Source organism: Homo sapiens, chromosome 2, assembly GCF_000001405.40.
Source record: "Homo sapiens chromosome 2, GRCh38.p14 Primary Assembly".
In the NCBI taxonomy this organism is placed as follows: Eukaryota; Metazoa; Chordata; class Mammalia; order Primates; family Hominidae; genus Homo; species Homo sapiens.
Window position 1 is genome coordinate 225,466,480 of NC_000002.12, and position 25,830 is coordinate 225,492,309.

The 25,830-nt window shown below is 38.1% G+C and overlaps 1 protein-coding gene across 4 annotated transcripts in view, besides 2 other annotated features; it reads left to right on the plus strand.

The window, feature by feature from the left end:
- Nucleotides 1–25,830, plus strand: part of NYAP2 (neuronal tyrosine-phosphorylated phosphoinositide-3-kinase adaptor 2) — a 305,716-nt gene that overhangs the window by 68,541 nt on the left and 211,345 nt on the right. The gene's annotated exons all lie outside the window — the stretch shown is intronic.
- Nucleotides 482–982: an enhancer, noted in NCBI's record as "H3K4me1 hESC enhancer chr2:226331677-226332177 (GRCh37/hg19 assembly coordinates)". NCBI's record gives its function as "activates a minimal SCP1, AML or CMV promoter by ChIP-STARR-seq in naive H9 embryonic stem cells {active_cell/tissue: H9 hESC(naive)}" and the evidence as "EXISTENCE:reporter gene assay evidence [ECO:0000049][PMID:30033119]".
- Nucleotides 24,061–24,261: a silencer, noted in NCBI's record as "peak4058 fragment used in MPRA reporter construct". NCBI's record gives its function as "represses an SCP1 promoter by STARR-seq MPRAs in K562 erythroleukemia cells {active_cell/tissue: K562}" and the evidence as "EXISTENCE:reporter gene assay evidence [ECO:0000049][PMID:32103011]".

The window sequence follows — 25,830 nt, forward strand, 5'->3', positions numbered from 1 at the left end:
AAGACCGCAGGTGTGAGCTTTGCTCTGCTCCCCATTGTGCAACTGATTAGGGGTTATGCAAAGTTAAGAGTGGAGACTGCAGGAGTTATTCTTATGATTTTCCAGTTGAAAATGCTGTTTAGCACTATATATTTCTAATAAAACATGCAAAAGGAGAGAACCACTTGCTTCCAAAAAGTCAAGAGCCACTTGCATCCAAAAAGTCAAAACATGAGGTATGAAAAGGTAAGTCAAGATGGTATCTAAACAATTCTGATCAGCCAGATATCTGGAATCTTTTATAATATTGAGAGAATTTGTATTTGGTATTGTTACGGCTGCAAATCCATACAGGCCTGCGGCAACCTCAATTCTTGCCTCCTCAGAAGAAAGAATTCAGCTGAGGGGGGCATAAGGCAGAAGGAGAGGCCGAGGCAAGTTTTAGAGCAGGAGTAAAAGTTTATTAAAATGCTTTAGAGCAGGAACAAAAGGAAGGAAAGTACACTTGGGAGAGGGCCAAGTGGGTGACTTGAAAGACAAATGTGCTGTTTGACCTTTTGACTTGGGGTTTTCTACGTTGGCATACTTCCGGATCTTGTGTTCCTTCTCCCCTTATTCTTTCCTTGGGGTGGGCTGTCTGCCTGCGCAGTGGCCTGTCAGTGCTTGGGAGGAGAACATGCGCAGTGTGTTTACCGGAGTTGTACGCATACTCACTTGAGGCATTCTTCCCTTACCAGCCGAATGTCCTTAGAGGTCAGATACCAATTAAACTCCACCATTTTGCCTCTTAGTGCACATGTGTGAGCCCTGAGATCTTCTTATCCGGAAGCCACTGATCACCAGTTTCAGGTTTTTCCTACCTATTGGGAGACTGACTCACCCCTTGCACCAGCTGCAACCAGTTATTATTTTAGAGAGACAGTTAAAAACTGCCTGACCATCAACTGATGGTCACCTGACATTCCTGATTGGGGTGGTGGGGGTTGTTGTGGTTGATGCCTCTCCTGCCCTGTTCACGTCTGATTAGCTACCTACTGTAACAGTATAAACAAAACATTAGTCACCCAATCTACTTGGCCTTGCCCTTTTTCCTACCTGAAATAGACTTCCATTTTTAAAAAATACCTCAGAATAGACTATCAAAGTCTCACTGCCTTTCAATCAAATTTTTCTAGACCAATCAATTAGCAAAGCATTGATCAGATTACTATCCAAGTGAGAATTCCATGCAAGACTCTGTGGCTCTGGGATACAAAATAGGGTTAAAATAATGTCTTTCACACTTCCTTAGAGGAGCAGTTAAAGACAGAAAATAACACTATGCCACCACACTTACAAAAATAACTGAAGTATGTAGTATAAATTCATTCACTTTTTGAATACAATCATTCATTCAACAAATACTTAGTGAGTTCCTACTGCATGCTGGCCACTACTCCAAGTCTCCTGGGATAGAGGGGTGAAAAAAAAGCAGACATAGTGAGTACTCCAGGGAGTCATTCAAGCCTATGAGAGTTCAAAAAAGGGTGAACTGGAGAAACAAGAAAAACCCTCTTGATAGAGTTTGGGCATATATTGAGCACTGAGAGATGAATAATATAATCACTTTTAGGGAAATGTTTGGATTGAATTGTGTCCTACATTAGGATGTTGAAGGCCCAACTTCTGGGTTCCTATAAATATAACCTTATTTGGAAATAAAGTCTTTGTAGATGTAGTCAAGTTAAGATGAGATCATGCTGGATTAGGTGGGCCTACTCTGATATGACTGGCTTCCTTATAATAAAAGAAAAGGAGACAGACACGAAGAGGAAAAACAGCCATGTGTAGACGTAGGCAGAGATTGGAATGATGTGTTGATAAGCCCAGGAATGCCAAGAATTGGACTTCTAGCCTCCAGAACTTCAAAAGAATACATTTCTGTTATTTTAAGCCATCCAGCATGTGGTTCTTTTAATGGCAGCCCTAGGAAACTAACACAGGAAGCCAAGACAGGCCAGTGAGAAAGGAAGAATAGACAAGAAACAGGACACAAACAAGTGGGGAAAGAAATACAGTCATTCAAACCACTGTTTCAACTGAAGTGGGCAATATATTCTAGGAAGAATTGGCATTCAGATTAAGAGTGTGATTCAATGATAAATGAAGAAACTTAGACAATAGAAAATCATTGAGAAAAAGAGGTATGATCAAAGGAGCACTTTAGGAAATTAACCTACAGCAATACACAAAACCATTGATTTAAATAATCTAGCCATTCTAATAAACAATTGGACAAGAGTCTGTCTAAGGAGACAGAGGAGGAATAAGTCACTGAGGACATGAAGAGGACAAAAAAGACAAAAAGAGGAGTTTCTTTCTAATTGTGATAATGATTCTGTGTAACCTGTAAAGGTAATAGTTTGGACTATTTATTTGAATTACTAAATTCTAGCCTTGCCATTAAGAATTTCTCTGCCATTTGGCCAGGTAGTACCTCAAGACTCTCATTCCAATTGGAAAAAATAAGGAAAAAAACACTACCTAATAAATGGCAACAAAAGCCAAAATTGACGAATGAGATCTAATTAAACTAAAGAGCTTCTGCACAGCAAAAGAAACTATCATCAGCGTGAACAGGCAGCCTACAGAATGGGAGAAAATTTTAGCAATCTATCCGTCTGACAAAGGGCTAATATCCAGAATCTACAAAAAACTTAAACAAATTTACAAGAAAAAAACAACCCCATCAAAAAGTGGGCAAAGGATATGGATAGACACTTCTCAAAATAAGACATTTATGCAGCCAACAAACATATGAAAAAATGCTTGTCATCACTGGTTATTAGAGAAATGCAAATCAAAACCACAATGAGATACCATCTCATGCCATTTAGAATGATGATCATTAAAAAGTCAGGAACCAACAGATGCTGGAGAGGATGTGGAGAAATAGGAATGCTTTTTCACTGTTGTAAATTAGTTCATTGTGGAAGATAATGTGGCAATTCCTCAAGGATCTAGAACCAGAAATAACATTTGACCCAGCAATCCCATTACTGGGTATATACCCAAAGGATTATAAATCATTCTACTATAAAGACACATGCATACTATGTTTATTGTGGCACTATTCACAATAGCAAAGATTTGGAACCAACCCAAATGTCCATCAATGATAGACTGGATAAAGAAAATGTGGCACATATACACCATGGAATACTATGCAACCATAAAGAAGGATGAGTTCGTGTCCTTTGCAGGGACATGGATGAAGCTGGAAACCATTATTCTCAGCAAACTAACACAAGAACAATAAACAAAACACTGTATGTTCTCACTCATAAATTGGAGTTGAACAATGAGAACACATGGACACAGGGAGGGGAACATCACACACTGTGACCTGTCGGGGGATGGGGGGCTAGGGGAGGGATAGCATTAGGAGAAATACCTAATGTAGGTGACAGGTTAATGGGTGCAGCAAACCACCATGGCACGTGTATACCTGTGTAACAAAACTGCATGTTCTGCACATGTACCCCAGAGCTTGAAGTAGAATAATAAAAAAATACTAGCTAATAGCTAACGGGCCTAACACCTAATAGCTAACAGGCCTGTTCTGGAGATTTCACAATGAAGTATATTTCATCTGTCTTATCTATTAAGCAATACATAAATGTAAGTAATTGCATTGTGCATTTTCCACTTAGAACCCACCACACAGTGAAAAAATGGGTTTGTTTTCCTAATGTTATTTGTGACCTGATTTTTTTTGTGCCTAAAGTAAAAGACTTGATAAGCCTCTTCCCTTGAAACAATACCATGGAAAAATCTTGCCCTTCTCTATTTTCTTCACTTCTCTTCATTCTTTTATTGTATGCATATGCACTCACACCCATTTCCCCAGTTAGTAGAAATAAAAGTAAAATACCGTGAGGTTTCAATTTGACCTATTCATGAGCACTATATGAAACCCCCAAATTTAGGGGCATATATGGTATATGGGCATACATGGCAGTCTGGCATATATGGTACAAGCTCTTTTGAGTTTCTGTTAAGTCTTGCTGAAATTTGTGCCACACTTGAGGAAAAGGATACTCAACATTTCTGGTGGGTAAAAAGCAATTGGAATAAAAACATCATAGGGGGAATGCCTGCTGAGAAATCCCCATTTTCCACAGAATACAGGAAATTATACGTGCTGTCTTACAGTGTTCTAAAGTGTGAATAGCCAACTCCTTACTTGGGACTGTGGTTAAAAAACAAAAGCAAGAACCTAGAACACATGATTGCATTGGCTTGTAAGAACTATTTTTTTAAATGTAAGATTTTACATATACAGATCTTACATGAAATATATATGTATGTATATGTGTGTGTGTGTGTATATATATTGAGATGGGGTCTCTCTATGTTGCCTAGCTGGTCTCAAACTCCTGAGCTCAAGCAGTCCTCCTACCTCAGCCTCCTTCCCAGCTGGGAAGACTTCCCACCTGGGAGACTGAGGCAGGGGGTTTCTTGATTTCTTTTTAGATGGCAATGTAAAAAAGATGCTAAATCTTATTAATATGCTTCCTTATCTTTGAACTTCCCCACAAAATATGTTAAAGTAAAATTGAAGATTGACCTTCAAATCAATATAGAGGGATTTAGACAAACCTCCATTGTTTGTGGAAATGAAACAGATGCTAGCCACTTTGCAACAAATGTCTGCCAGATACCATGTCTGCATTACTGCATGTACTATAAACATGGTTGTCCTCAAATGAAGCAACTGTCAATTTAAAATCCAGTCCTGAACAGCTATTCATGTCCTCATGTGTGTCTATATCTATACACGTGAGTGAATGTGGTGACGCAGAATGGTTTGGATGAATTTTAATTATTTTACTGCTTAGAAAACCAGCTTCTTTTGTGACTTTGATCCTTGAATATGACTATAGTCACGAATATTTAAAAATCTGATGTTTGAAAATAATATTTTCTCTCAAATAGTTTTTTTATTCTCTGCGTGCAAGAAAATATTGAGGCACAGGTATATTTAAACATAATTTTAAATGACTTAGCTTACTGTAATTTGGGGTGGGTCACTAAATTAGACATATAGTAACATATTAACAGAAATATCTTGGCAGCTACCCTATCCAAACACCTGCATGGCTGCAGTTGATTTCAGCAAATATTTGTAGTGTGTTTTACTAAGTCGCTGGTCTTAGATAAAGTGCTTTATGTAGGCATTATCTTATGTAATCTCCACGCATTCCCTGTGAAATATGTGTTATCACATTTACACAGGAGAAAACAAGTTGAGAGAGTGTAAGCTGCTTCTAAATGTGCACAGCAAATGGCAAAACCAGGACTGATACTAGCTCTGCCTTCAAAGCCATATTCAGCTATCTCTCTGTGACAGCTAAAATGCTTCAAGGAACCCATTAGTATGCAGCAAACCTATCAGACATCACAAAGCTACTAATTTTAACATACAGAATTTAACCAAGAGGTAAAAATGATAATAAGACTGTTTAATGAGTACTTATTATATTCCCTGAACTGGGTATGTATTACCTCATTTAATCTCCCTACCATCCTTCGAGGGAGATATGAATATTATTCCCATTTTATCAGTGGATTAACTAAGCATTAAGATTTTAAGTGACTTGCTTAAAGCCATATGTCTAGCAAGAGGTAGAGCTGGGATCTGAACCCACCCAACCAGTCCAAAGAATCTGGCTCGCACGACTCATCCTGCTTCTCAAGAAGAAAAAAACTAAAATACATCACCTTTGATGTCATACATGTCTACTCATTTGTTCAGGCTCTCATTTTGTTGCTTTTTACTTTTATTTGGAGCTAATTATCATGTTTGCCTATGCATGTTCAGCCAGCAGCAAGTAAGAAGCAGGAATTTGAAGGGGTAGACAGGGAAAAGGCAGGACAAGAGGAATCTGCTCCCATAGCCCCACTGACCCCTGAAGAATGTGAGTGTGTTTGGCTAACTGTGAGGCATAGCATAAGTGCATTGCAGCCTGACAGCATTTGGTACAGAGGTAAGAGTCCTTCAAAATTAAACAGTCCCTAAAGACATGGGCCTATTTTCAATCAGGGTACAATATTTATGCTCTTAATTATGACCCTGAGTAGTCAAAAAAGGGACCAATTTTCAAGATATGCTCAGGGAGGGCTGTGTAAAAATCATAGGAAGTTCATCATCGTTAGAAACATTTATGTCCAAAGAGTAATTTTTTTAATTTAAATTTTTGTTCAAAACTGTTTCAGTATGAATTATCTAGAAAGAAATTGGATGGGATATCTCTTTCCTTGCTAGCAATAGAAAAATGCAGTGTTACTCCTTTGATTTTCTTTTTTTTCTTTTATTTTTTAATTATACTTTAAGTTCTAGGGTACATGTGCACAACGTGCAGGTTTGTTACATATGTATACATGTGCCATGTTGGTGTGCTGCACCCATTAACTTGTCATTTACATTAGGCATATCTCCTAATGCTATCCTTCCCCACTCCGCTTACCCCACAACAGGCCCCAGTGTGTGATGTTCCCCTTCCTGTGTCCAAGTGTTCTCATTGTTCAATTCCCACATATGAGTGAGAACATGCGGTGTTTGGTTTTTTGTCCTTGCAATAGTTTGCTGAGAATGATGGTTTCCAGCTTCATCCATGTCCCTACAAAGGACATGAACTCATCGTTTTTTATGGCTGCATAGTATTCCATGGTGTATATGTGCCACATTTTCTTTATCCAGTCTATCATTGTTGGACATTTGGGTTGGTTCCAAGTCTTTGCTATTGTGAATAGTGCCACAATAAACATACGTGTGCATGTGTCTTTATAGCAGCATGATTTATAATCCTTTGGGTATATACCCAGTAATGGGATGGCTGGGTCAAATGGTATTTCTAGTTCTAGATCCCTCAGGAATCGCCACACTGTCTTCCACAATGGTTGAACTAGTTCACAGTCCCACCAACAGTGTAAAAGTGTTCTTATTTCTCCACATCCTCTCCAGCACCTGTTGTTTCCTGACTTTTTAATGATCACCATTCTAACTGGTGTGAGATGGTATCTCATTGTGGTTTTGATTTGCATTTCTCTGATGGCCAGTGATGATGAACCTTTTTTCATATGTCTGTTGCCTGCATAAATGTCTTCTTTTGAGAAGTGTCTGTTCATATCCTTTGCCCACTTGTTGATGGGGTTGTTTGTTTTTTTCCTGTAAATTTGTTTGAGTTCTTTGTAGATTCTGGATATTAGCCCTTTGTCAGATGAGTAGATTGCAAAAATGTTCTCCCATTCTGTAGGTTGCTTGTTCACTCTGATGGTAGTTTCTTTTGCTGTGCAGAAGCTCTTTAGTTTAGTTAGATCCCATTTGTCAATTTTGGCTTTTGTTGCCATTGCTTTTGGTGCTTTAGACATGAAGTCCTTGCCCATGCCTATGTCCTGAATGGTATTGCCTAGGTTTTCTTCTAGGGTTTTTATGGTTTTAGGTCTAACATTTAAGTCTTGAATCCATCTTGAATTAATTTTTGTATAAGGTGTAAGGAAGGGATCCAGTTTCAGCTTTCTACATATGGCTAGCCAGTTTTCCCAGCACCATTTGTTAAATAAGGAATCCTTTCCCCATTTCTTGTTTTTGTCAGGTTTGTCAAAGATCAGATAGTTGTAGATGTGTGGCATTATTTCTGAGGGCTCTGTTCTGTTCCATTGGTCTATATCTCTCTTTTGGTACCAGTACCATGCTGTTTTGGTTACTGTAGCCTTGTAGTATAGTTTGAAGTCAGGTAGCGTGATGCCTCCAGCTTTGTTCTTTTGGCTTAGGATTGACTTGGCGATGAGGGCTCTTTTTTGGTTCCATATGAACTTTAAAGTAGTTTTTTCCAATTCTGTGAAGAAAGTCATTGGTAGCTTGATGGGAATGGCATTGAATCTATAAATTACCTTGGGCAGTTTGGCCATTTTCACAATATTGATTCTTCCTATCCATGAGCATGGAATGTTCTTCCATTTGTTTGTATCCTCTTTTATTTCGTTGAGCAGTGGTTTGTAGTTCACCTTGTAGAGGTCCTTCACATCCCTTGTAAGTTGGATTCCTAGGTATTTTATTCTCTTTGAAGCAATTGTGAATGAGAATTCATTCATGGTTTGGCTCTCTGTTTGTCTGTTATTGGTGTATAAGAATCCTTGTGATTTTTGCACATTGATTTTGTATCCTGAGACTTTGCTGAAGTTGCCTATCAGCTTAAGGAGATTTTGGGCTGAGATGATGGGGTTTTCTAGATATACAATCATGTCATCTGCAAACAAGGACAATTTGACTTCCTCTTTTCCTAATTGAATACCCTTTATTTCTTTCTCCTGCCTGATGGCCCTGGCCAAAACTTCCAACACTATGTTGAATAGGAGTGGTGAGAGAGGGCATCCCTGTCTTGTACTCCTTTGTTTTTCAAAACATCACCTGTTACAGAAGTTTGTTATTTTCTGAATATATGTACAAGTGTGAGACTTTGTACAGCTATAAAAGCATCTGTATTTGTTTGCATAACACTCCAGTTCTAGGAAGATCAGTATTTCTGTTTTCTAGAAGAAATCTTTATTCTAATTTTTAAAATATTAAATTTATACCTGCTTATGATAGAAACTTTTGAAAGTACAGAAAACTATAGCAAAAGCATAAGAAAATAAAGTCATAAATGAAGCAAACAAATGTATTTACCATTTCCATTTTGGAATATATCATCTGAAGAATGTCAACTTATCCAAACTGACCAGTTTTTCAGGTTTTTTTATTTTTCTTCCTGGCCAAGTTCTACACTTTTGCTAAACCATACCAAACCAAACCCTACAATACAATGCACTGATGTAGTACATTCTCCTTCTTCAAAGACATAATTTTCTCTTTGTTCTACCCTCCCCTGGTGGGAGGAGTTAAAGTTATCTCTGTAATGTTAGTTAATGATAATGCTGTTATTAAAGCCATAAACTAAGGAAAATAAGTGAAATTCAGTTTCATTTGATGTATATGAGTATAAATTTTAAATAAGGTAGGGAAAAACAATTATATTTGAGTCTGAAAGGCAAGAATGGTATTTTGACATTTTTCTGTGTTTGTGTTATTCCCCAAAATCTGGATTGAAAAATTGTTTAGTTAGGCATTCAGTTGTGAGGTTTATTATTTGAATAAGTTTCATATCTGAAAATAAATCTTTTCAGAAATCAGATATTTTGCAATTGAGTAGAGAGAGCCAGAGAGTAAATCAATATTTTGTTTATAATTCAAATCTCCTAGTCTGGTTTTGTGGGATATATTTTCATAATACTGAACTGATTTCCCAATGAGAAACTGACAAATATACTTGTTTCAGTGTCTCATAAAAGCTATTTATTTAGAATATTCTCTGGCAGTAGTGGTTCTGGAGAACATGGCACCTTATGGAATATGGAACTCTTCATTTTACAATGAAAGTAACAGAAGCCTGCAGAGCTTCCAGAACTGCAGAGATTAGATGATTTTCCAATAAATAAGTGGAGTCAGAACCTATTTAATGGAATAATTTATAAATGGTGGTGCTGCAGAGCTCAACATCGATTTAGAGAAAACTATGAGGAGAGTCTAAATGAACTGACAAAAATCTGTGAGGCAGATTAGTCTTAATAGAAGTCTAAAAAAATTTTTACTGACGGGGTGTGGTGGCTCACGCCTGTAATCCCAGCACTTTGGGAGGCCTAGGCGGGCGGATCACGAGGTCAGGAGATGGAGACCATCCTGGCTAACACGATGAAACCCCGTCTCTACTAAAAATACAAAAAATTAGCCAGGCGTAGTGATGGGCGCCTGTAGTCCCAGCTACTCGGGAGGCTGAGGCAGGAGAACGGCGTGAACCCGGGAGGCGGAGCTTGCAGTGAGCCAAGATCACGCCACTGCACTCCAGCCTGGGTGACAGAGCGGGACTCTGTCTCAAAAAAAAAAAAAAAAAATTTACTTAAAAAATATGCCAGGTTTTTGTTCATTGTAGGAACATTCTATTTCTAATGCCTTTACCCAGCAATGTGCTGGTAAATCTTTAACAGGCTTTTAAAACAGAAAAATGGATGCAAATATATATTTTATGACACACTTTTAAATTTAATCTGCATTATCATTTTCTCTATCACTTTCCTAAATCCAGACAATCAAAACAATATATCAAACCCTTACTTACAGTATTTATGGATTTCCATTGTGTAAATACTACTGTTGTGATGAATTTCAAGCACACACCAGTGGTCCCTAAACATAGAATTGAAGAGATACATACATCATTATATAGCAATATGCCATACAGATACAATAGACCTAAGTAACTTTAAGATACAGATAATAGTAAAATGAATATAATAATTATAAAGTGATGAGTTTCAGTATGTTACCTTTGTTTTTAATATAATTTATTTAATTGTGAATTTGTATAATTGACTTTAAAAAACGGCTATTTAACAACTGTCTCATAAATTTTCTGAAATTTTAACGGTTGTTTTTTGCTGACCTGTATTAACTACCTTTAAGCCACCACTGCCTATGCCTTTGAAGGAAAGGGAATATGAAAAAAAATTACACAATGCCCCACATATATGTAGTACACATCATATCCAGCACTTGTGAGGTATATATATTATATGTGTGCTTTTGGAAGTATACCTCTGTAGCAGTGCTTCTCAAACTTTACTGTGCATGTAAATCACATGGGCATCTTGTTAAAAGGCAGATTCTGATTTAGCAGGTCTGAGAGTCTCTATTTCTTTTTTTTTTTTTTTTTTTTTTTGAGACGGAGTCTCACTCTTTCACCCAGGCCAGACTGCAGTGGCACTATCTCAGCTCACTGTAAACTCCACCTCCTGGGTTCATGCCATTCTCCTGCCTCAGCCTCCCGAGTAGCTGGGACTACAGGTGCCCGCCACCACGCCTGGCTAATTTTTTGTATTTTTAGTAGAGATGGGGTTTCACTGTGTTAGCCAGGATGGTCTCGATCTCCTGACCTCGTGATCCGCCTGCCTCGGCCTCCCAAAGTGCTGGGATTACAGGTGTGAGCCACCGTGCCCGGCCGAGAGTCTCTATTTCTAACAAGTTCACAGATCTTACTGATACTGCTGGTCTCTGGACCTAACTTTGAATAGCAAAGGCCCTGACTAATTTCCTTAGAAACTTACTTTATAAGAGTCAATCTTCTTCTCTCTCACTGCATATGTGTGTGTGCATGTTAGTTTAGATACATACACACATACATACACACATGTACAGTTTTACACACATAGATACACACGCACATATATACACACATATACATACACATGTATATCTATATCTGTAATTTGAAACGGGCCCCTCCATGTACTCAAACAAAATGATATATAATTAAATGACATTCTGTAGAGAAAACAGGAGAAAAAATGGGAGTTGGAATTGCTGCCATGGCCTAGTGGAGGAGGAGGAGGAGAAACTGCCTTTATCAATCCTTGTATTAAAAGAAGTGTTCAAGGAGCCCGAAATTAGTTCAAGGTTGATGAGATGTTAGGTCATAAGGGAAGAAAGAAAACCCTGAGTTTCAGCCAGGAACGGTTGAAATTAATCCTGTAGGCATTTAAGGAACATAAGTCATTAATTTAAAGAATTATGCTCTAGGAAGTTTAATCGGGTGCTATCCAAGTGTGAGGCAAACTACACTTAGTATAGAGATGCTGTTTGTCACAAGCTAGGGGTAAGTGGTAAGCACCTATGTCCAAGGGAAGGAAGAACTGGGAGGAATCTGGATCCTGGATATATGGAGGATGAAGAGTCGGGGATGCTGAGCCCCAGTAACTGGGAACATGATGGTGCAGCTGCATAAACAGGAATCCAGGAAGAAGAAGCCAGTCTCTCTCTCTCTCTTCCTAAGTTAAAAATAAAAGAAGATGTTAACTCTGTTTATGAATTCATTTTTCCCAAAGTTGAAGTGATTCAACAGAAGAACTCACAGCAGGTTTAGTAACATGATAATCAAGAAGTATATGGTCATAAATCTTGTGAGTTTGTGAGGAATCTTCTATATGCTACCTTTTTGTCTTGGACCATAAGACAGGTTTGCCAGAACCAAATCCAACTTCAAGCCTGAAGGTGGGGATACCCCTTTCTAATCAGTCCATCACTCATATTGTTTTTATTCTTGGCAACGTGACCTTAAATTTTTTCAAGGTTAATCTGTGGAAAAAACAAAATTGATGACAAATTTTCATGAAAATACAATGGTCCTGAAAGCTAGGTTCAGGAACATGAGATTGGAGTAATTCAGGACCCTGTTGGAGGGTGGTGAAGAAAAGCAGGCATTACATCCTGATATAAAAAGTATTTTTCAAACAACATTACAGGAAATTTCAAAATATCTCTTGTATCACCTATTAGTATAGGAGCATGATCTGAATATTGTGCAAGGATTGGAAGATGACTCTTCATGGACCAAACACAAAAGTCAAAAGCTTTGACCTGTGAATTTAAGATGCTGCTAGAGAATCCAATCATTGGGAAAAAAAATAAGAGATTCAGCATTATGGTGTTAATATGTTTTAAAATTGTACTAGCAGATGTGATTGAATATTGAGGGAGAAAAATATGTTCATATGTGACTTGGGAACAGTCAACGAGTGGGAGCCAATGGAAAAAACAATAGGAAAAGATTGAAAAAGGAACAGGAGATATTTGAAGAAAGAGTAAGAATTACAGCAACATAAGCTTCTCTCTACTCTTCAGCCAGAAGAAAAATCTGGTTATAAATCCACTGCCACCAAATCCATCCCTTTGAATTTGGTATAATTTGCATGAGAAATTCTTATTCTTATAAAATCAGGTTAGTGACTCTTAATTTAAAATATAAGTTGTCCTAAATTAACACTGTACCTCAGTGAATTAGATTATGCCAACACGATCTACTTATTAAGTGAATCTCAGCAAGAATATTTAATGAAAAAGGTCTAGATGATTTGAACCATCCTAAGTGATCCATTGAAATAGTTAAAAGGCACTGTTTCTATATGCAGACCAAAAGTCCTTTAATAAAAGAGTATGACATGCCAAAAGTTCAGCATTGCATGGTACCTGTGGTCCAGCCAAAATAATAACTTCTAATAGCATTTTTGAATCGGTTCCAATGCATTGTGAAAATGCTTAGAATTCCAAAGTACCATAGTTTTTTTTTTTAAATCCACCAGTAATTACCAAAGATATTTGCATTTGCAGTCACCTTGTATATTTTGTGCTATGATTAGCTTTTTCTTAAGGACAAACTTCAGACGATTCAGAGGTTAAATTTAGCTAAATTGTTAGGATAGGAAAAACATCTAAATTTTTTTCTACATGTAATTTCATCAAATTTGTACCAATGTGATTCCCTTTCCCCAGTCCTATTTTCTTCAAAGCATCTTTCTTAATGCAAAATAGTATTGCACCTCCATATTCCTCTCTTCAATTTTCAAACAATCCCAAAGGTGAATATATATTAAGAAATTCTTCTACTTCTTTTACTTGTCTACTGACGTCACTGGACTTTACCAGCCAAGTAACTTTGGTAAAAGTTAAGTCAATCAAAGTATGTATTACTTTCTAAGGAAATCCAAACTTCTGTAAATCTGTGAATTCCTAATGTAGACAATTGTTTCTGGCAGCCTGAGACATTTTTAATTTTTAGAAAATAATTTTTAGAAGGTATTTCATGTTAAGACTAAAAATTCAATAGATATTATTGAATGTCTACTACATGTGGGTATCATGACAGGTGTTATTGGGAAGAGTGGGTGTGGTAAAATTCTAGAAAGAAAAAAATGATCTCCTCCATCTAAGATTTATATATGTATACTAGGGGAAGATAGATATGTAAATGAAAGTCTGATACAAACCAAAATGTACTGTTAAAAATTGGAAGCATAATGGAGATATGAAGGAGAGAAAGATGAAAACCAAGTGGGTGAGTTTAAGCTATATTTCTTAACTAAAAGGGCATTTGAGCTAGCACTTGAAGGAATGTAGATAAGTGAACTTCATTCAAAATGGACATGCCGAGGAAGGAAAATAGCATAAAGGAATATTGAGGCACAAAAATGCAGGCTTCATAGAAAGGCGAGTATTTGCGTGATTGGGACATAGGATATATTGTGAAGCTGTGCAAAAGTGGTTGAGGGTATAGCAAGAAGGATCTTAAAGGGAAAAATAAAATAAATGGTCAAATAGATTCCATTGAAGATATTTAAGCAGGAGAATTACATATAGGAGCTGTGTTTGAGAAGATGACTTAAAACTTGTATACTATGATCTGAACAATGAGGAGACAATTTGGTTTTCTTTCTTATATAAATGGTTTTTACATTAAAACTAGTTGTTTTAAAAAATAGTTGCTATACTTTAGTCCAACAACATGATCCATGTATCCAGATATTTTCAGAATTAACTATCTTAAATTGAGAGTAAACACCCCTTCTGCTAATTTACAATGTCTTTGATGTAATGACTCCCTAACAATTCAACAAGAGTCTCAAGAACATAACTTTATATTTTCCTTCCCGTTTCTGCCTTAAGTTGACATCTCTTTGAAATTTCAGAATCATTCTTAATGTGTTCCATGAAATCAAAGGGAAAACTCAGAGAAATGTAGGATGATGACTATTGATCTCTACTGTTTCTTTCTTTAAAAAACCTTTTCCTCAGAAATATTTGTCAATTAAAAGTGTCATCCTGTATATAATTCATCATCTCTCAAGAAGCAGTCAGGTTATCCATGTACTTTTTATAACTCTACTTTTATCAGTGTTTACATCCATGGTCAAATTCTCTTCACTAAATGGTCAAATTATAATAATAATTATTTATTTTCTCTATTAGTTATTGTCAAAATCTAATGACTGTTGTATTTGTTAGAAAATGCTCTAGGATAATAATACTCTCTAAAGTCCAGTGAATCAACACATTTTGTTACCTTTACATTTTTGTTCTCAACTTCAACATTAAGTTTGAACATAAAACATATTTACTTATTCACTTTTTGACCTGCTAATAAAGAATTTAATTGATCATGAACAACCACATGGAGAACAAACTTATGGGACCGGTTACTAATTTATTAATTTTTCAAACTCAGGTTTTTTATTTAAATTAATAATGTTTACCTGTGAGCTACTTCTCTCTTGCAAACAATAATATGAAGTAGTATTTCTTGAAGTTTGAAAAATCACTGAATATTTTATATATTGAAAGCCACAAATGCAAAATAGATGAAGTTTGTGACATTCTGGGTCAGGGTGGGCCTTTGGGAGGCAAGGTTCCACCCCCTTAGGCATCCATTTATCATTTATTCAATAAATATTTTTGATTCCTAGTTTGGTCCAACATTGTGCTAAGTGCTGGAAATAAGAATGAGGAGGCAAACCCAAGGCCCCTGCAGTTTGTGATTTAGTTGAGAGAGAGACATCAATAACAACAACAATTTCAACAACAAACACACACACACATACACAAATAAACATGCAATGGCAACTGTGATGATTAACAAAAAGCAATGTGACATACACTTATAGCATACTGTAATGAGAGTAGAATTAAATGAAGCCACAGTATACAAAAATATCTTATTTTTACATATAATGCATAGTAATAATTCCTATTCCATTATATTCTATTCCTTTAACATAAAATTCTACAGTGACTTGATTTAAAACCCTTTAAGCTTCACTACCTGCGATTTTACAGAAAGCTCCATTAAAGTTTTTTCATTATAAAAACATCTTCCTATCTGATTTTGCACATAAAAATGTGGGGCCATTTTGTTGGGCTGCCCTCACCTCCTTTATTCATGTGTGTGAGATGAGTGGTCTGAGAACAAAAAGGATTGGTAATAGAATGGTGCCTGTTAGAGTAGTGTACAGTGTGGCTGCTTGCAGGTTCCTCTGCAGTGTTTCCCTTAGTCTTAGCCTTTGTTGCCACTGTTTCATCAAAAATAATATATTCAATATTTCTTTTCTGCTTCACTATGCCAGCAATGTTTAAAGGAATACTAAAAGGAAAGTACTGCTACTAATGATGGGTCACTTCAATAGAAAGAGAGTGTGGGGTTTCCCGAAGGCTTCTGAAATGCATCTGTTTACCCCTTTCTCATTCTCTCCTTACTCAAATGCAGCAGAAAAATCAAACCTTCCAAAATGTTACTTGATGTTCTTGCTGCTCCACCACCACAGAGCCTATTTTCCTCACTGTCACCTCCTTCTTTCCCTTCTAGGATCATTAAGTTTCCTCTTCTAGGTCTCTTAGCTGGATTCCCTAGGCAGCTCTTTTCCCCAGCCAGCCCTACCCCAAACAAACTCCTTGGGTAAACAACTGTGCAATCTTACTGCTAATGCAAAGAACAACAGAGTGGGAGAAATGGAGAAAATGGTATACGGAGAGAAGACAAAGCCCATGGATCCATTATTTCAGGGATTTTGTGGACTGTTCAGGACTTCTTCAGACAGCTGGTAAATATTGTACTTCTTTACCAAGAAGAGACTGGTTTGTGTTTTCGTAAGAAATATGTTGCTATAGTGCACCTGTTTGAATATTCTGTACTGGTAATTTATATCCAGGTGATGAGTAATGTGAAAATCTGTCATTTATTTTAAATTGTTTAAAAAATTAACTAACATAACATCTATATATTATAACACTGTATCATATACTTAAATATGTTTTAAGAAGGTAGATCTTGAGTTAAGTGTTCCTTTCACAAAATAATAATAATAAATAAGAGAGCTAGGGGAAACATTTGAAGGTAATAGGCAGGTTCATGATATAGAATGTGAGGATGGCTTTATTACCACATATCTTTAAACTCATCAAACTATAATTGTTAATTATGCATAGTTTTTATGTAAATACATAAATAATGGTAAGAAAAAAATATGGTAATCCATCACCATCCAAAATCCCTGCCCTGGTTTGAGCAGAGACTTTGAAAAGAAATAGTATTGTTTTCTTACTCAGTTCTACAGCTGTTTGTGGAACTGGTAAACATTGGGTAAAAGCACTGGTCAAAATACCTTCATTTAGGATTATTTGCAATTATCACAAGAGCAACTCTTAGAAAAAGTGAGACGTGTGTGCACACACACACACACAATTTAAAATAATAGCATGAGTAATAACATACCTAAGAAGAAAATACCTTCTAAATAAAACATACTGCTCAAAATATTTGTTCGTTTTCAGTTTTACAGGGAGAATGGAAAGTTTTGTTTATATTTGAGTCCCAAAAAGGTTTATACGGAAATAATTTGATGATATAATTGCTAAATGAGAAAAAAATGTTATAGCCCTTTCCATATTTCAGGCACGGAAAAATAACTCTCTTGAAAAGTGTCTTTTAAATTATTTCAAATACTATCTGGAGTCAAATACTTTCTTCTGTTTAAGAAATAAGATAAACTATAATACATGGATAAAATTTACTTTAAAATTTTAAATAACTATATGTGAAAGAAATTTCTTAAAGGACTCACACTTGCCAAGGTTGTGGTTTACAGGAAAAACTTGAGGATTTGAGGGTCTTGGGTATTTCCAACTTAGTAAGATTGTTTTCCTCCACCACCATAGTAAATGAACACTAACTGTTTAGAGAAATCAGGTTTTTAAGTTGGTGCTTTATGTGTGTAGGTATTCCATTTTGCTAAGAGTGGCATTTGGTGCTCACATTTTCTAAAATGCCAACAGCAATTAAAGGCCTGTATCCACTTTGCTCTTTTGTCTTAGTTCTACAAGCAGGCCATAAACTGTAGGACTGTAAGAAGGATGGTGTTCCAACATGTATTTTTTCAGTGTACACGTCCCAAATGATTAGTTGACTTAGCTAGGAGGGCAGCCCTTCACTGGGGCTCGGCCACTTATATCTGCAGCTTCAGGCTAGTTGCTAAGTAATAGGCATTACTATTAATTAGCCTCTAGTGTTAAGACATAGTTTATCATTTTATCAAATTTCATTTAATAATCTCTATGACAGTGTGAATTAGGCAAGGAAGTATTTTCTCTTGATTACAGATGAGGGGCTGAGGATCAGAGATTAAATTACTTACCAGAGCTAGTTAGCTCAACTAGCCCATAGGCTAAGGAGCCACTGGCTTAGAATCCAGATGTCCTGATGAGACATCTTTTACTCTTTCTACTCTACTGTAAGCCTCCTGCTTAATGTTGACTGGCTTAATGTCATATTTTCTCACTTGGAGAATGAGAAATAGAGTTCTCTGTAAGGCTAATCTCTGCTCTAAAATTCTGTGAATCTTATTACTTGAACACGTGCTTTGAAATCAAAGTTGATTGGCCTGGTCTGGTGGTTTCCAAAGCGTGGTCTTTGCATCAGTGTCATCTGAAATGTATCAGCGTCATCTGAAATGTATCAGCATCATCTAGAAATGAAAACTTGGGCTTCACCCCAGTGCTATTGAATCAGAAACCCTAAGGGTGAGGCCCATCAGTGTGAGTTTTAAGAACCCCTGTGGGTAATTTTGAGGCTCTCTGAGCCTGGCCTATTCAGAGTCTCATTAATATGCTTACAGCAGTTGGTCATTAATATGGTTTGGCTTTGTGTCCCCACCCAAATCTCACTTTGAATTGTAATAATCCCCATGTGTTGAGGGTGGGGCCAGGTGGAGATAATTGAATCATGGGGGTGGTTTCCCCCATACTGTTCTCTCGTGATAGTGAGTCTCTGATGGTTTTATAAATGAGAGTTCCCCTGCACAAGCTCTTTTGCCTGCCACCATGTAAGACATGACTTTGTTCCTCATTCACCTTCTGCCATGATTGTGAGACCTCCCCAGCCACATGGAACTGTGAGTCAATTAAACCTCTTTCCCTTATAAATTACCCAGTCTTGGGTATGTCTTTATTAACAGCATGAGAACTGACAAATACAGTCATTAACTCTCAAACCATGTTAGCAACTTCATTTCTAAGTTAGGTTTGTGCTCATCTTCACCCAGCAGCATTTTTAGAAAGGTTACTTGAGAGGGAGGCAGACTTAGATGTCTCTAAGATGAATGTACTCCCTTTAGACTCTGGCTTTATGTTATTTTCCAGAGGAGTGTTTAAAAGCTGGACAATGGTGGGGAGGAGCCAGAGATTATTGGTGGGAGGGGTGTGTGTGAGTCCCTGTTGTATTCATTTATCCAGGAAAAACACATAAAATGTATTTAAATTCAGTCCCCTCTTACTGAATCTCACAGCCTTGCACTCAGGGCAATCACAGAAAGGGAGAGATGGATATTTTCCAAATTGCTCAAATGACTTGGGCAAAAGAGGAGAGAAGCATGCCATTACCTCAAAAAGCTTCAGAAGCCCTTAGGTCAAGGTTTCTCGGCGTGACTGACATTCTGGACTGGATGAGTTTTTGCTGATGCAGCTGCCCTGTGCATGTTAGAATATTTGGCAGCATCCATGGCCTCTAATCATTAGATGCTAGTAGCCACACCCCTCCCCCAGTCATGACAGTCAGAACTATCTCTAGATATTGCCAAATGTCTCCTTGTGGGCGGTGGTAAAACTGCCCCCACTTCTCTCCTACCCCCATTTGGTTGAGAACTAGCACCCTGCGGAATTCCCTTTATCACTTTCTCCTTATCATGAGGCCACCCACCCTTGAGCAAGGTGCGTGGTGCCCTGGCTGGAATAGCCATTATCCACCAAGCCTTCCTTCTCCTGGCTATTATTTTAGAACAAGTGTGAAAAAGAGGAGACCCAGATTTTTGAGAAGCTTGGCTGCTCTGCTTGGAAAATAAATTAGCAGTGAGAGGTAGACTGTAAAACCAAGAGGGTATTCAGCACTCCTATGCTCCTGGCAACAGCGGCCTCTGAAAGAATAGCTAAGGGTAGGAGCTATGGGAGTGCATGAGCTGAAAAGAAAACTGCCAGCTATTAGTGATTCTGTAGGAGGTAAATGTTCTAAGCTTTGATGCTACTGAGAATTCTCTGAAGGCCTGTGCAAACAGCCCCAGTGTGAGGAGCAGGCAGGCGCAGGCACTGAGCCTTGCCTGCTGCTGAGCTGGGCTTATGGTATTAGGTACACTTGATCTCTGCTTCCAAATCCCACTGATTTTCTCCATGGAGAAATTTGTGTCTCATAAATAACCTCTGAAATAACCTCCGGGTTTGTTTCCAGGCATTGCTCATCTAAATTCATTGTACTCGTTCAAAGCAATTGTAGCTATTTTATAATGCAGAATAAGAAACCCATCAGGGCCTACTTTGTAGGTGAGTTGGCTGGAGACCATGCTCTCTTTGAGGTTCTGATAGGATATTCTCCCTTCACAGTTCAACCTCCCTGGGCCCTCCCCTTTGGGAAAATTATCAGATACCAGCCATTAACTCCTCCTCCCTACAGATCTGAGTTCCAGCTATTCCCTAGAATTCCCTACATTTAAACATTTTAAATGGGAAGGGCCCTACAGTTAAGGGAACTTTAGCCAGTAGTGCAGGAGAACACCACTGGGATTGGAAAACATATGAGTAGCACTTTTGAAATTATAGGTAGACAAAAGTCACATATTGCTGTCTGGTAATCAAGGCCAGCCTGGTGCTCTTATCTCCTCCAGTTTAGATTCTCTTGAACACCCTCTGGGGAATGAGTAGGCTTTCCCTGGCTGCACTTCCCTCTCATTGGGAAGGAGAATATTGGCATAGTCTCTGCTTTGCACCAGGAGTCAGTAAATGCTGGCCTGGCCTTGGCCACAAGCTAGTATTTCGGCAGGAAGTAAATGGAGTGGACAGTGCACATACATGAGATCTCTCAGGAACACTGGTCTTCAGGCCCATGATGGCCCTCACAGCTCCCCTGGACCTCTGCCGTAGCCTCGAGCCTCCTTTCTCATTTCTAATTGGTAACTTTCTTCTTTTCTTTTTTTTTTTCCATGTCAGAGTCTTGCTCTGTCACCCAGGCTGGAGTGCAGTGGCACAATCTTGGCTCACTGCAACTTCCGCCTCCTGGGTTTAAGCGATTCTCCTGCCTCAGCCTTGCGAGTAACTTGGATTATAGGCGCCCACCGCCACACCCAGCTAATTTTTGTATTTTTAGTAGAGACAGGGTTTCACCGTGTTGGCCAGGCTGGTCTTGAACTCCTGACCTCAAGTGATCCAACTGCTTCAGCCTCCCAAAGTGCTGAGATTACAGGCATGAGCCACCACGCCTGGCAAACTTTCAACCTGATAGATTTTATTTAGGAATTTTGAATTAGCTTTGCTAGACCAGCTTTATCCATACAACACAGACATAGTATTTATTTATGGGGATGTTTGTTCATAGATATATAGATATATTTTAGCAGTCACTATTTTCTATCCCCCTTTCTGATATCCTCCACCCACACCCACATACAGATTATCAATTTTATAGGTGGCATTTCTAAGTTTTATTGGTTTTAACCAAATCCTCTATTCGCTTTCTCTATGTATGATGGCACATCTGTTTATGGCATTGGCTGAAGCTTAGCTGACATTCCCAAAGTGCTTGGTGTAAGAGGAAGGGGCCCATCTGGGACTAGAAAAGAAAATCTGGACTCAGCATTCACAAAGTTCTCTTTGTTCTCCTAGGAAGTTTCTTCTGACCCATATCCACGGATCATTATACAGGCTAAATCAAAATTTATGTATTTCCTTTGCATAATCCTGCTACTGCTTAGAAAAAGGAATGACAGAAAAATCTTAATCATTCTCCCACAGAGCTTGAAGGTGAACAAACATGCTTGGCAGCTTATGCCTAATGAAGTCATAAGTGCCAGGAAAAGAATGATAATCCTTAACCTTTAAAAATAAAATAAAACAGATTTTGTTTATTTAACTTAAGAAAAAAGTTAGACTGCTCATTTTATAAGCCAATCACATAAACATAACAGAATCTTTATTTCATCTGTTTTATATGACTTTTTAAGACAGAGTCTTACTCTGTCACCCAGGCTGGAGTGCAGTGGCATGATCTTGGCTCACTGCAACCTCTGACTCCTGGGTTCAAGCAAGTCTCATGCCTCAGCCTCCCAAGTAGTTGAGATTACAGGCACATACCACCAAGCCCAGCTAATTTTTGTATTTTTAGTAGAGACAGGGTTTTGCCATGTTTGCCAGGCTGGTCTCGAGCTCTCAGCCTCAAATGATCGCCCACCTTGGCCTCCCAAAGTGCTGGGATTATAGGCATAAGCCACCATACCCAGCCTTTGACAGGATTTTAGGCATGAGCCACCACATCCAGCCTTTGATAGGATTTTTATTTCCCAAACTTCCTGAACAGGTGGGTTTCCCTTTGGCTTCTCTCTAAGAGACACTCTTTTGGGACAGACTTTAGACAGTTTTCATAGTCTACAGAACCAAGTCATGAAATGAATTCTTCTACAATGGTTGGTGAGTTTGATTTTATTAGTAATATTGAAATAGGGACTTCCTTTAAAGAGCAGCTTTGCTCAAAACCACATAGTAAATAGGGAAGTGTGCCACCCAGGTAAGGAAATGAATGCTTACCAGCACAGCTTTGCTAAGAATCCAGGCAGAAGAACTGCTCTAACTTCATCTGCAAAATGATTTCATGACTGATGATGTCAATGGTCAACTGAAATAATAGGTTTTCCTCACTCACCAGCACGTTTTACTCCAAAGTCTGCATCGTACTTATATTTTTGTAAAAGATTTTCTCATATATAAGAGGCTCCCCTTTTTCCCCTTTTTCTTTCTTTCTTTCTTTTATTTATTTATTTTTTTTAAGAGTTTTGCTTTGTCACCCAGGCTGGAGTGCAGTGATGATGCCATCTTGGCTCACTGCAATCTTCACCTCCTGTGTTCAAGCAATTCTCCTGCCTCAGCCTCCCGAGTAGCTGGGATTACAGGTGCCCGCCACCATACCTCTCTACTTTTTTTTTGTATTTTTAGTAGAGATGGGATTTCACCATGTTGGCCAGGGTGGTCTTGAACTCCTGACCTCAGATGATCCACCCGCCTTGGCCTCCCAAATGGTTGAGATTACAGGTGTGAGTCATCGTGCCCGGTCTCCCCTTTTTCTAAGATTCACCTGTAGCTGGTAATTAATCATAAAATAAGACAATAGATTCCTGTTTTCCTTTCTTACTAAAAGTCTAATAATTTATTTCTCCTTTTAGAGAGGAAACAAGTACCAGCTTTTGCCATATTCTGAAATACCCAACTTTCTCTAGTAATCTGGAGTCATATGGCTAGGATGTGGATGTGTAAGCCAGCAGGGTATCCTCCTTCTGAAAACGGGGGTTGAACTCACACAGTGCAAGGATTCTCAACCCTTAACTGGCAAATATAAGGCCCTTGAGAATTGTCTAAACAAATACCAGTGTCCTGGGACCTTGACCCAGATCAAATAATAGATATCTGTGGGGATGGATTCCAGCACCAGCGTTTTTTAAAGCTCCCCGGGGTGGATCCAATGTATAGCCAAGTTTGAGAACTGCTGAGTTACAAGCTCATTTTCCAAAGGGTGTTCATAGTTCTGAGAATCCTGGAAAAACAGTTTGAGAAACAATGCAAACTGTGAAAGGTTCTTAGATGTTCACAATGCACATTCTGATATTGTTCATCCAAGTGACCTGCAGTTAAGAAACCTCCTGAACTGTCTTTGACAAGTCAAACTGTGTTTGACTTGACTATGAATCTCCTTTAATTCATATCTATCCAGTTAGAGGAGCTTCAATTTGTCAGAGCACTTTGGAAAGCACTGAACTAAATACTCTAGGGAATTTGGGCAGTTTCTGGCTCTGAGACTCAATTTCCATCCCATTCTGTTCTCTTCTATACCATTCCACATGCAATATTGTCCCAAAGGTATTCCTTTGATTACTTACAACATAAAGACTCTTGTTTGACTCCTTTAGCAGCAACACATGAGACTCATAATCATTATCCTTTTAAGAAAAATGTCAAGGCATCTTCATGAAGGATGCTGTGGAGCATCAGTATAAAATGCATTTTGTAAGTAAAGAGAAAGACCAGCTTTGAGAAAGACTGGGGATTTTCCTTGCAGATGTAAATATATCTGCTTGACTCTCTTTATAAATTAAATTTTATAAGTAGCAGCTACTGTTCTACAGCAAGGCCTCCTGGATGAGGGAAATGATAAGCAGACTGAAGAAGAGATGTAGCTTGAGAGGATTAGGCAATCCAAATCCAGGATTACCAAGCCAGAAACTAAAAGGGAGCCTCTGCAGGGCTGACTCAGAGAGGAACCTGACAGGGCATGGGGCCTGATGAGACACATTGCAATCAATGTAAATTAAAACTTAGATGTGCCTTTGTCTTTTCTCCAATGCAGAGTTGCTAAACATTGTCTTAAACTTTGTTATTAGTTTCCGTGACCTGAATGCTGCTGAGTATTTGTGTGTTGAGTTGCACAACTCATGACTGTTAAAAGATGTTGCTTCTCAGATTTGCCCACCTGCATGGAGCATTACACTCTTGACTGCTGTTATGGAATTTTTCATTTGTTCCATTATTTAACCAGTATTTCCTGAAGGTGTTCGTGTTCTAAGCACTGCCCTAGATGATGGAGACAGAGTGGAAACCAAGATGGACAAGTGGGGTCTTCTGAATCCCATTCAGCCTGTCTAACATCCCTTCCCAATGATGCCTGAAGAGTTCTTGACACAGGACTGTAAAAAGGCAAAAAAGAAAAAAAGTTTAAATTAAATTCCTGGCTACAGAAGGGGAATTGCCTAGAGTTTATTACCTTAAGCTTAATTACATGAGCAATAAGTGATACATTATATGAAAAACAAGGCAAGAACGAAATTTTGAACAACTTGCTCTTTAAGGAGTTAGTGAATTCCTTAGCCTGGTTGAGGTGCGAGGAAGTGTCCCATTGCTTGTCAAACCTATATCTCCATCATTAGGCTTCTGGGTCCTACCACCTTTTATTATTCACAAATCATATTTTATGTTGAATACTATCATCTCACCCTACCTATCTTAATTTTTTTAAATTATGGATTCTAAATCAGAGAATTTAAGTGTCTGTGAATTTGTAATTTCTCAGCAATTTCTTGAAATCTAGATTTAAATATAGAGTCTTCATCAAATATATCTCTATAGTTTTTACTACAATGGTTTGTCTTTGGAAAGAACTTGGTACTATTTCCCCTCCTCCAATACGTATGTTGCAAAACTGTATGCCACAGATGGCTTCTCTCTAGTGGGCTGGACTGGGGGTCTTTACTATGTAGTTAGTGACATTTCAAGTCATGAGAGATGCTAACAGCCTTGACTTTTGGCAGGAGACATTTCCAGATTGGATATGATCTCAGAAAAGTTTGCCCTGTCTACAAAAGTCATCAATTGCATGATACTTCATATAAAGCAATAAGATTCTCCAGGCTGTAAAAGCTTGTGGTTTAACCATTTACTGTAGTTTATTTTCGTTATGCATTAGCTGGATGTTCTCCAGTAGTGAAAGACTTAAAAAACCTATACCCTATCTGGCTAAGAAACCAGGAGATGATGAACAGGTATAGAAGAGGAGGTGGTGGTATGACCCAAGGGGTGTGGGCTGAGTCCAGGGCCTGGGTAGGACAGGTCAAGTGCAGAGACCTGAACTTGAGTGCTTAAGGCCAGGAGAAGATCCATGTGCCCTTTCACATGTTGGCTGCTCCATAGCCCATGTGGCCGGTGTGTGTGATTGGAAGAGCAAATGCCCATGTGTCCTGGTGACTGTTCCTTTGCCGGTTGATTGTAGGAAGCATCTATGTCAGAACCATCAGATATAACACTGTTATAACCAAGCCATCTTGTCAAGAAGTATATTTACATTCTAAGACTCTACACTTGGAATATATCTTTTTTCT